This window comes from Homo sapiens, chromosome 10, assembly GCF_000001405.40.
Source record: "Homo sapiens chromosome 10, GRCh38.p14 Primary Assembly".
NCBI lineage: Eukaryota > Metazoa > Chordata > Mammalia > Primates > Hominidae > Homo > Homo sapiens.
The window spans coordinates 50417180-50429402 of record NC_000010.11 but is presented as its reverse complement, the minus strand read 5'-3'; the positions used below and the strand labels follow the sequence as shown (position 1 = coordinate 50429402).

The following is a 12223-nucleotide window of genomic DNA, read 5'->3' as shown; positions in this document are numbered from 1 at the left end:
ACAAACCTAGGCTATATGGTATAGGCTGTGGCTCCTAGGCTGCTGCAAACCTGTATAGCATGTTGCTCTACTGAATACTATAGGCACTTGTAACCAAATGGTAAGTATTTGTGTATCTAAACATAGAAAAGTATAGGAAAAATATAATCTTACGGAACCACTGCCTTTTGTGTGTCCCTTGTTGACCAAAACATTGTTATGCAGTGCATGACTATACCTGTCTGTGCTTGTGTGTTTTAAATACAAACAGTCCCCAATTTACAATGATTCGACTTAATGATTTCTTGACTTCATGATGGTGCAAAAGCAATACACCTTCAGTAGAAACCATACTTCAAGTACCCATACAGCCATTCTATTTTAACTTTCAGTACAGTATTCAATAATTTAAAAACAATATTCAATACTTGAATAAATAGGTTTTTTGTTGGATTATTTTACCCAACTTTAGGCTAACGTAAGTGTTCTGAGCATGTTTAAGGTGGGCTCAGCTAAGCTATGGTGTTAGGTATGTTAGGTGTAGTAAATGCATTTTTGATGATGGGTTTATTAGGATGTAACCTTTTCCTAAATTGGGGAGCCTCTGTTAATCATTGTACTTAGTCTCATAACAGTCTTCTTAGGAAGCATCTGGGATTATCTGCATTTTGCAGGTGACTGAAAGGCTGACTTCCCTAAGGTGGGTGAGAGAGTACCAGATTTGGTGTTGTAGTTCAGGCACTGCTGAGGCCTTGAAACATTGCTAGGATAGTTGTAAAGATAGTAAGACAGTATCTGAAAGATTATGAGAACAGCATAAAGTACCACAGAAATGGAGGGGCTGCTTTTTATAACAGGACAGCTTCTATCATTACGGGGGGAAGAAAGCTCAGCTCTAGCCATTTTCCATTCTTTTTGTGGCAGCTCATATTATTGTCAGAACACTTGCTGCTCCTTTCTGCCCACCTTCCATCCCTGTGAAAGGATTATACTCTCCTACTCTACAGAAGGCTGATGCCCCATGGCTAGCTTGGCCAAATAAATCCTCTAGGATTTATTTTGGCAGTGAAATGTCAGTGACAATAATTTGTGTCATTTCTGAGAAGACACTTTAATAGGTATGGCCTGCTCTGCCATCTTTCTCTTTTCTTTGCCATGGGACTATCATGCGCCAGTTAGGGGTGCTCCTTCTGCCCTGGTCTTTGAGTGAAGAGGACATGGAGTGGACTCCATGTCCACAGCTTATCTGCAAGGAGCCAGACAGGAACTAGTATTAAGCCTCACTCCATTGTTAGCCTCCAAAATTTGAGGACATTTTGTTCCTGCAGTATAAGTTAGCCTAAACTGATCTACTCTTTTTTCTCCCTTTAGGCACCATCCTCCCTCTTTCAGGCCTAATACACACACATACACACACATGCACACACACACACACATTCTCTCTCTCTCTCATTCACACGCAGCTTAGCCTCCTTTTTATCTCGAGGGATAGAGTTCCCTATCAACTGTTCCACTGCTGTCTTTCTCCTTCATTGAAGATGTCAACCTTCATCAGAATTTAACAATTCAAATAAGGTTTGAATTCTATAAATGTTTGTAGAACATATCCCATGTCAAAGTGTGGATTTCTGGAGGTTTAAAATAACCCAAGCCCTGGACCCAGCCTTCAGGAATCGAAGAGTATGGTGTGGGTGCTGTCTATTCAAGTAGCTATCCAACAAGGTAGACAATGTTGGGTGCTGATAAAGGGTGTGCTTTGATCCTCAGTGACCTGTTTATGTAGTGTCCCCACTTTGTTGTATGTCGACTTAAAATGTTAAGTGTCGTTGCTTTTGGTTAGTTCAGCTTACCTTCTCTTTCCCCCCTTCCTTAGCTTGTATTTACTGTGCCATTTAATTTGTACTACATGCTAGACTGCTGTGTTCTCAATTTGTAGTTTTCAGTCAATTTATACTGACTCATTCACTAGTTTAGGGTATATGTTCTTTCTTTGACACACATTGTAAGTTCTTTTTGGTTGTTGTTGTGACGGAGTCTCGCTCTGTTACACAGGCTGGAGTGCTGTGGCGCCATCTCGGCTCACTGCAAGCTCCACCTACCGGGTTCATGCCGTTCTCCTGCCTCAGCCTCCGGAGTAGCTGGGACTACAGGCGCCCGCCACCACACCCGGCTAATGTTTTTGTATTTTTAGTAGAGACGGGGTTTCAACATGTTAGCCAGGATTGTCTCTATCTCCTGACCTCGTGATCTGTCCGCCTCGGCCTTCCAAAGTGCTGGGATTACAGGCATGAGCCACTGTGCCCGGCCGTAAGTTCTTTGATTTCACAGATGATACATTAATTTTTTCTGTTATAAAGTGCTTAACATACTATTACAACAAAGTTCTTAGTAAATTTCTATTGTTTTCTTTGATTTGATTATTTTTGTTTCCCTTCAAGTTAGTGGTTCTCTTTTCTATGATGTATGAAATGGAGTTCATTGTTAATTGGGGTGCTTTTTCCCATTATTTCAATTTGGAATAATTTGGAGTTGTTCTCTCGCAATTTTAGATCTCCGTGTCTTACTACCTGACATGTGTCAAGGCAATCCAACTTAATTTCATTTTACTAGTGACAAGTCCTGGCTTTGGAGTAGGGAGTGAAATCAATAGCTCATAGAGGTCTGTCTGACTAGTGGTTTCTATGTCAAGCCAATGTATGACTTAGCTGTTCCCCTTTCTTCCTGATTGAATTCTGGTGTTTTCTGTTTCATTACTTCTGACCACAATTCTACTTTGATGTCAAAAGGCACAGGGTTAATTTATTATTAAAGCCACATCTTGGACCAGGGGCTTTCAAACTTGTTGTCCAGCATGTACAGAAAGAAATGGTTGTCAGCCTCAGTTAGACAAGGGAAGGTGAACTCAGAGAGCTGCCATGTTTCAGTAAGGTCTGCTTCATAGGATGGGTGGTAACTTCATGGGTATGACTTTAATACTACATTTCATACCAAATAGGTAACTGTATTCACTTGTATCTATTAAATACTGCACAACCAGATTTTTTAAAGGTATGAAATACCATTAATGTTGATAAATGTGTCCATTGCATTTATATTGGCAGACCTGAGTCATATTAATGGTAGTTGTTTTTTTCCAATTTTAATTTTCTCTTAAAACATTTTTTTATAAACGAAAAATACTTTCATTTTGGAAAATTCAAGCAACACAGAAAAATGTAAAGAAAGTAGAAAATCTCCCCCAGATTATGTTAACATTTTGGTGAATCTTTTTTTACTTTTGTTTTTCATTAAATCATTTTTATCCACTTAACAATGTGCTACAGCACATTCTCTAAATCAATATTGTAATTTTTAATACATACCACTCCATTTTATGATATCATATCTATTTTAATTAATATCCTGGTGATGTATGTTTAGATTGTTTCCTGTTTTCTCTATTACAGATGATATATCAATGAATATCTTTGTACATATATTTTTGGATATATTTCCAGATATAATTAAAGGGATGCATACTTTTTCTTTTCATACACATTGCCACAGGTTCAGGGAAAAAAAGAGTTTTAACTTGCACACCTCAGATTAATGTAATGAGAAATGTCAGACTCATTCATTCTTGCCAACCTGATCTACAAAACATGTTTAAATATTCACGGCTTTTTAAAAAATTTCCGTTTTTATTTTAGACCCGGGGTACATTCGCAGGTTTGTTACATGGGTAGATTGTGTGATGCTGAGTTTTGGAGTACAATTCATCCCATTATCCAGGTAGCGAGCATAGTACTCAATAGGTGGGTTTTCAGCCTCCCTTCCTCCCTCCCCTGTCTAGTAATCCTCAATGTCTGTTGTTCGCATCTTTATATCCATGTGCACCCAATGTTTAGGTCCCACTTATAAGTGAGAATATGTGGTATTTGGTTTTCTGTTTCTGCATTAATTTACTTAGGATAATGGTCTCCAGCTCCATCCATGTTGCTGCAAAGGACATGATTTCATTCTTTTTTATGCCTGTGTAGTATTCCATGGCATGTATGTACCACATTTTCTTTATCCAATCTACCATTGATGGGCACCTAGGTTGATTCCCTGTCTTTGCTATTGTGAATGGTGCTGCATTGAACATATAAATGCATCTGTCTTTTTGGTATAATGATTTATTTTCCTTTGAGTATATTTGCAGTAATGGATTGCTGGATCAAATGGTAATTCTATTTTTAGTTGTTTGAGAAATCTCCAAACTGCTTTCCACAGAGGCTGAACTAATTTACATTCCCACCAGCAGTGGATAAGCATACTCTTTTCTCTGCAACCTTGCCAACATTATTTTTTGACTTTTTAGTAATAGCTATTCTAACTGGTGTGACTTTTTAATAATAGCCATTGTGATTAATGGTATCTCATTGTGGTTTTGATTTGTATTTCTCTGATGATTAGTGATGGCTGATCATTTTTTTTGTATGTATGTTGGCTGTGCTCATATGTCTTCTCCTTTTTTTTTTTTTTTTTTTGAGACGGAGTTTCGCTCTTGTTGCCCAGGCTGGAGTGCAATGGCGCAATCTTGGCTCACTGCAACCTCCATCTCCTGGGTTCAAGTGATTCTCCTGCCTCAGCCTCCCGAGTAGCTGGGATTACAGGCATGTGCCACTATGCCCGACTAATTTTGTTTGAGAAGTGTCTGTTCATGTTCCTTGCCTACTTTTTAATGGGGTTGTTTCTTGTTTGTTGAATGTTTAAGTTCCCTATAGATTCTGAATGTTAGAACTTTGTGAGATGCGTAGTTTGCAAATATTTTCTCCCATTCTGTAGGTTGTCTCCTTATTCTGTTGATTGTTTTGCTGTGCAGAAGCTCTTTAATTAGTTCTCACTTGTCAACTTTTGCTTTTGTTGCAATTGCTTTTGAGGACTTAGTCATAAATTCCTTGCCAAGGCCGATGTCCAGGATATTTCCTAGGTTAAAACACTTTAGACAGGTATTTTAATATAGATAGTACCTTCTTTTTTTAACAGGCAAAAGACACTTTTTATGAAGATACTATTGATAAATCATTGATTTTCAAATGATCTTCATGTAAGTACAAGCATCAGGTAGCTTAAAGCCTACCTAGAGAAATATTTTTCTTTATTCAGCCATAGAGAAGTACCTTCTTTTAAGAAATAGAAAGTTAAATCTGGCTAGTGACTGTGACTGCCCTCTAGTTCCTTCACGTTTTAGGTATTTACATGGAGTCTGATACATTCGCTCTCAATCTTCTCATCTGTGAGCCCACCCCTATCTAGCTGCTCTTTGTATTAGACACAATAGTCCCAGCTTTCAGGTCAGACAAACATGGCTGTACAGCTGGCTCTGACTTGTCTTGATGATTTACCTTGGACATATATAGCATTCTTGACTCCCTGTTTCTTTGCGCGTTCAGTGTAGTTGTTAATATCTGCCTTGCAGTGTTGTATGTGGATTAAATGTAAAATAATGTGTATGAAATGAAAGCTGCTGTCATTAGTAGGTACTCGGTAAATGGATTAAATTGAGCATGTTTTTCTTGTTCTAAATGGAATTTCAAATACATTTTCCTTTAGGAACAATGTCATGAATGGAGTTTGAGTACAGTATTAGAAATATTATTCAGCATTATATTTCATTGACATATAATTTCATTAAATTATGAGTTAAACAGGTTTTTAAGGACTGGCCAGAGAAGCTGGCCTCTACGCTAGAGACATCTTGTGTCAAGTGAAATGTATTCCAAGTGTTATATAAGAGTTCGTGCACTTAGTTTTTTTTTTTCCCATGCCACCTTGTCTAAGAAGAGTTCATTGACTTTTGACTCTAGAAGTGAACTTTTAGAATGTAATTTATTACCTGGTTGAGGATGGCTTGGAATTTCTTGATAGGTGATGATGTGTTTGGGGCAAACCAGACCTTCCTTCTGCTTCTGAGAATTAAACCCGTTTTCTTCTAGAGAACTTACTGCTCCTCTCACCAATCCAACCAGGTGGTCCTAGTATAGACCAGCCAGTCTGTATGGGTACATGGCCCCAAACTGGACCAGTGAGTTTTTCTGGCAATTTTTAAAATTACAACTGTGAAAGGAGGAATTGTCTCTCTTGGATGCAGAGCTAAATTAAGTGGGAAAAGGCACACTTTAGGAATGAAGAATAAAGCCAATGATAAAACACCAGAAGCAAAGATGCTATCTTGTCCTGGTGCAATTCGTGTTGAGCTGATCCTAGTGCCCAGCTGCCCCTGTGGCTTTCCCGTTGCTGGGATATTTAGAGCCAATGTGGCTCACCTTGCTTTTGCCTGTGATGCCTCAAGTGCCATTTTTGTTACCTGCAAGTTAAACACTGCTGACTAATTCATTTGCTTGTTTATACTTGGAGTAGTTATTTAGAAAGTCAGTGCTTTTGTCATGGGCAATTTTAATAAAGTATTTAGTTGCATAGCAGGACAGACACAGCCTTTTGAGAACAGTGGTAGTGTTTTTTTCCCCATCTGTCATCAAAGCAGAAATATGCTAATGCTAATCAAAGGATACCAGTGAATGAATGTGTGTGCGGGTGGTAACGGCTCTTTTGACAGAGGCTTGCTCTAATGCAAATGTAAAACTTTTATATACCTATGATGTCATATAATGCAAATGCCATATAATAAATGTATACCTATGACAGTTCTAGGATTTATGAATTGTCTTGAAGAACTGTCCTTTGCTACCATTATGGTTAGGAGCACCTGTTGGTAAATAGATGTTTGTGGTTGAGAGTGATGTTTACATTTAAGGAGGAATTGGTACTTTGGCAAGATTATCAAATATGTATCTATGTGTTCCTTACTTGAAAGGGAAGATCGAATGACTTGTTGCTTCTGTTCTCCACAGTGGATTCGTGTTTGGGGAACTGGGATTTTACATGAAAACTCTGTTTTGTAAACTCCACTTCCTTTTAGGAAGTATCAGATTTGCTGTCTCAGTAGCATTCTGTATTGTTGGAACATGCCACAAAGAGCACAGAAACGCATCTGCTGCTTGGGTTCTGCTTGCCAACTGGTTTGAACAGCTATAATATTTGTTTATTCTTGATGTGTCAGCAGTCAAAGGGAACGTTTTCTTTTCTCCTTTGTGGCTGTTATATAACTTAAGCATCATTATATTCACAACAATGACTATTTATGCAGAATCTGCTAGGCCCTGGGGGATACAGATGCTCGGAAACACGTCTACCTCAGATGGATTTCCACTGTCTGCTGAGAGTGAAAGGTCAGGGATCTCAAAAAGAAGGAAGGATGCTAAGATCCTATGTTAGTTGTGAAATGGAAGTATAAAGAATAAGATCTGTAGGTATTTGGAGGAGAGGAGAGATTCCCCAGGGCTTTTGCCAGTGACAAAAGTTCTAGGAGAAGAAAGGGTTTCAGTGGTCTGGAATGGGATATGTACTAAAAAGAATGCAAGAAGGTTGTCAGGCAGGGGGCATGGTGTGAGCCTAGTGCTTTGAATGAAACTCTGTCACCTTAGCTGGTAACCACCCAGCAGCTGAGAGGCCTGGACTAAAGAGCACCAACATGGGAGCCACCTGCATGGGTCCCTTTGGGGCAGCCTCTCCACCAGGGATGAGCATGGCTCCCAACTACAATGTGAAAGTTAAGAATTTTTAGACCCTCGAGTGTACATGGCACACTCGGAGGCCCCCACCGTCTCCACTACATAGGCCAGGGAGCACAGGCAGAGATAAAGAGACCCATGGGCCACCATCTTATTAGGGTCCAGTGTGTTATCCAAATATGTTTCCTAAGGGGAGCTTTAATTGGTAGGTTTAAAGCAAGCAGGTGCTAGTTCCAGGAGGTCCTGTTGTGACTGAGAGGTGGTCAGTTTAAATTTGCAAGCAAATGTCTGAACGGTCTGTTTAAGGAAGTGGTGGGAAAGTGAGGAGCCCAGCCTGCTAGGCAGGACTTGGGTCTCTTCAGTTTTATTTCCTGCCACCAGTGGGAGCCATTCAGGTGGGGAATGGAATTTGAAACTGTCAAGGGTGACTGAGCCCTGATTCTGAGAAAGTTAAACCTATATTTAAAGTGGATGTCAAGGCAACATAAAATGGTAAGCACTCACTATCCCTAGGTATGGTGGTAGTAATGTGCCCTCAGCTTTAGGGGAACAAGGAGTGGACCAGCGGGTTATTTGGCAGAGGGTTTTTAAGATCGGGGTTGCAGAGGTAGAGGCAAGGCTTTGAGTGCCTATAAATGTCATGGCACTGGACCCGTAGTTTCACCGTCACTTTTTTTTGATAACTATATGTTGAGAATCCGTGTACTTTAAATTTTAATTTTAGACAACAAAGGCATCCTAGAACCAGTTATCCTGTTCTCTTGTGGGAATGTTCTAACCACATTGGTCATTGTGTTGTTCTTATTTCTGAAGCATAAGGATTATTGGAAACATCTTTCAAGTGCTTTGAGTTATGATTGCAGCCAAACATATTTATGAAGCCTTCCTTCTTCCTGGAGAGAACACCTACTCTGAATGTTAAGCTTGGCTGGATCCTAAACAATACTAACAAACTAGATCATCTCTCTTTCCTGTCTGTGCTGCCTTTCCCTTTCTCCATCATAGATCTCAAAGTATCTCTCTGTGTCCACACACACACAAACACAATTGTATTTTTTAGACTGCAGTGTTAAGTTTATGGAGTTGTTCATATACACTTAAGCTTTATGTAGTCTTCTCATGTAAAAGAGCTGCTGTCCTTGATATAATAGCCAACATATTATCAGTTCAGCCAGTATAGCTCATTGTAACAATTACATAAATATAAAATATCAGTGCTCTTAAAAATACACATTAATTTACATGAATGTTTGAGGAAAGCTGCCCGTAAAGCAAATTGTGTTCCTTTTGATCTCTACTATAAAATTATTTAATTGACTGAGAGGAAAAGGTTTATGACATGATGGCATGCTCGACTTTGACATTTGTCATGTGATGATGATGATGATGTGTTGAGAGGCATAGAGGGAGGGGCCCGCCTGCTGGAACAGCGGCTAGAAGACACTCAACCTCAGTGACTCAGGCAGAGGGGACGAATGCCTGAACCAGGAATGGAAAAAATGGTCCAGATATGAAAGAAGCCTTCATGTTACGCCTATTGGTAGTGAACCATTAAGAGAGAAAAGAGGGAGCTCAGATGATTCCAGAATTTAACTTGAAGTGTCTAGGAGAGTAACATTACCTTTATGAGGAATATGAGAGTCAAGAGAGATTTGACAGCTTCATCATCTAGGAGACAGGCCCAACTTAAGTACCTGTTGCTAAGGATAAATGTGAGGCTATAGGCCGATCTTGCTTCTGCTCTTTTGACCATAGTTTGGTTTCCAACTGGAAACACTCTTAGAGATCCTCAGAGAGAGATGAAGCAGTCAGTTCACCCTGTCACTTACTGGCAGAGCTGAGACTAGGAAGGGAGCTCTTGGCTTTTTGTGCAGTGTTCTTTCCACTCTCCCGTGCTGCTTTGGAGAAAAGAACAGCATTTTGCTGATCTCACTTTAGATCTTATCTTTGGCTAATGAGTATTTTCAAGAAACCTTGGCCTGTGGAATGACTCTAAACATGTATGAGAAAGATCTCCAAAGAGATCTTTGCTCAGGAGATCTCCAAAGCAAAGAACGTTTAATTTGTAACTTAACATTTTTTTCTTCCCATCTAGAAATTCTCTTTTGGCAATAGCAATCAACTCATTTCTTAATGGGACCTCAGGAATTAGCACTTCTGCAGCCCCCTGTAATTTGCCAATTCCCAAATAAAGTTTCTTTTAAGTATTTTTATTACAAAATAATGTTTAGGGCACAGTGACTCAGATGGAATATTTCCACAAATCACTCTTACTTTTTTAAAAGTAGGTTCACCTGTGACCTAAATGAAATCATTCCAATTTTAAGCCTATTTGCTACCAATAAACTTTCTATTGTATAGTAAGAATACCAAATTCAAGAATCCTGAACCTAAAGCTTCTTAAGTTTCTCACCACTTAAATGAGGGACTCAGACCAGGGAATACCAGAGAACTATTTCAGCTCTAAAATTCTTTAGATATTTAACATAGGAAAGAATTTTTGAAAATTACGAGCCAGTTTGTTTACAATTTTGGAGATTCGGATTCAGGACTCAGAGGGACAAGACAGCATTTTTTGAGTGCCTACTCTTTGTCCAGCACTGTGGTAAATGCTTTGCATGCATTGTTACATAATCAGTAGTTCCCCCCTTATCTTCAGATGGTATGTATGTTCCAAAGCCCCCAGTGGATGCCTGAAATCTCGATGGTCCTGAACCCTATATATACTATGATTTTTCCTATACATACCTATGGTGAAGTTTAACTTATAAATTAGGCACAGTAAGAGATTAACAGTAACTAATAATAAAATATAACAATTTTAACAATCTCAGAATGACATGAAATTTAAAATTTATGCATTGCTTATTTCTAGAATTTTCCATTTAATATTTTCAGACTGCAACTGAAGGGGCGGGGTAACGGACACAGCAGAAAGAGAAACTGCATATGGGGGGACTGTTGTAATCTGTAAACTGTTAGGTGGGCATTTTAGCCCCCTCATTGATGATAATTAACTTACTCAAGGCCACACAGTGTCAGAGGTCTGATCCAAATCTGCTTTGATACCAGGTCCCACCTCTTTGCACCCAGTATCTCTGCCTAACTCAAAAACTTTTACTAATCGAAACTAATGTACATCCACTGAAGTATCTTTCGTAAGATTAATCCTTGTTTCCCAAGCGTTTTCAAAGGCAACCTACCCTTTTCTAGAAGTTGTGTCGAAGTTGTCAAAGGCGTAAAGAAAAGGCTGTGAAAGGCTTCTAAGCTTGGTATAAATCAAGAAAGGAAAGTTCCGCCTTAACCGACACTGAACATGCTTATTGGTTAGGACTGAACGGGCTGACTCATTTCTTTTTTGCCGTGGTAGAGGGCCACACCCTGCATTCCAAAAACCCTCTGCTGCCGGGCCACACCCGCCAACCCCGCTCTTGGAGCCTCTGAGGTCCGGCTGGGCGTCTAGCTCGCAGTTGACCCCCCGGGAGAGGATCGGCGCATCCGGCCGCCCGCCAGCTCCAGACGCCGGGCTCCGCAGCGCCGCTGTCCTAGCACCAGGGCCCGGCAAGCAGGGGAACGGGACCGCCGGGACCGATCAAGGCGCGGGCGCCCAGCAAGAGCCGCGCCCGGGGTCTGCGCGCCGCTCAGCGCGCTCGCCTTTCCGCCCGCGCCAGGGCTGGCTGCGCGCACCCTGAGCGCGAGGAGCCGCGCGCAAACTTGGTGCCCCAGGAACTTTCCAGGAGACACTGCCTCCGGGGACGAGAGACCGTAAGTGTTGCTCCGGAGATGCTGTGGTTCATTAGAATACACTAACAGACGGTGTGAACCGATTAAAATACCGCAATCAGTGCCAATTCTACTACGGCGAAGTAAAGGGAAATCTTTATTTTTCCTGCATCCTGCTTTAATGATCAAATAGGCACTAGCTATTTACACCTGAGAAGGTTCAGTGCAGTTGCTGAAGCAGTGGGTCAGGATATGGGTAGGATCAGTCAACAAATGCTCTTTATATTGCGTGATGCTAACTGCCGTGGCATGAGAACCAAGGGTAGGGGGTGGTTTCTGTTTGGGGTTATCAAGTCTTCCTAATGGCAGTTTTTGAGAGAACGGGATTGTGTCTACAGATTGGTTATTAAGTTTTGGGGAAGTACTCACTTTCTCAAACTCCAGTCCCTGTACGAAACAGCCCTTTTGGCAACTCCTTTGGTTGGTTGGAAGCTGGCTTGTGAATGAGCTTGGTACTAAGTGCCACAAGGATGCACGTGCCCCTGTGTTTTGGACTGAGTGTGTTTACTCCATAACTGTGCTTTCTATTTAGTGTGGCCAGGTAATCGCTCTTGTGGAATTTGTCAATAAATACATGGAGAAGAATGCATGACATTTATTTTATTTTATTTTATTTTATTTTATTTTATTTTTGTGTTTGTTTTGTGTAGTTATACCAAAATAGGAAATCTGGAGACCTAAATTCTGTTACCCTGAATGCTACAAATATTTATCATAACATTTTTATCCAATTGAGTTACCGCTTTTAAATTTATGTAGAAATAAGTCCAGTGAGCCACTTAAAAAACCCGCTTTTCTACATAAGAAATTAGTGCAGTTGTATGATGCCAAGTAACTTATTTTCTTGCAAGAGTTTGGGGAAGTAG

At 40.3% G+C, this 12223-nt stretch overlaps 1 protein-coding gene across 13 annotated transcripts in view, besides 1 other annotated feature; it reads left to right on the top strand.

The window, feature by feature from the left end:
* Positions 1-12223, top strand: part of SGMS1 (sphingomyelin synthase 1) — a 319585-nt gene that overhangs the window by 195782 nt on the left and 111580 nt on the right. For 4 of the 13 annotated variants that reach the window (XM_005269675.2, XM_047424982.1, XM_047424980.1 and 1 more), the window contains exon 1: positions 10993-11339. The exons of the other annotated variants lie outside the window; for them this stretch is intronic. The gene's annotated coding sequence lies outside the window, so the exon portion shown is untranslated. Of the gene's footprint in view, positions 1-10992; positions 11340-12223 lie in introns of those variants that run through there. 13 annotated transcript variants of the gene reach the window in all.
* Positions 10963-11242: a silencer, noted in NCBI's record as "silent region_2367". NCBI's record gives its function as "represses an Ori minimal core promoter by ATAC-STARR-seq in GM12878 lymphoblastoid cells {active_cell/tissue: GM12878}" and the evidence as "EXISTENCE:reporter gene assay evidence [ECO:0000049][PMID:35858748]".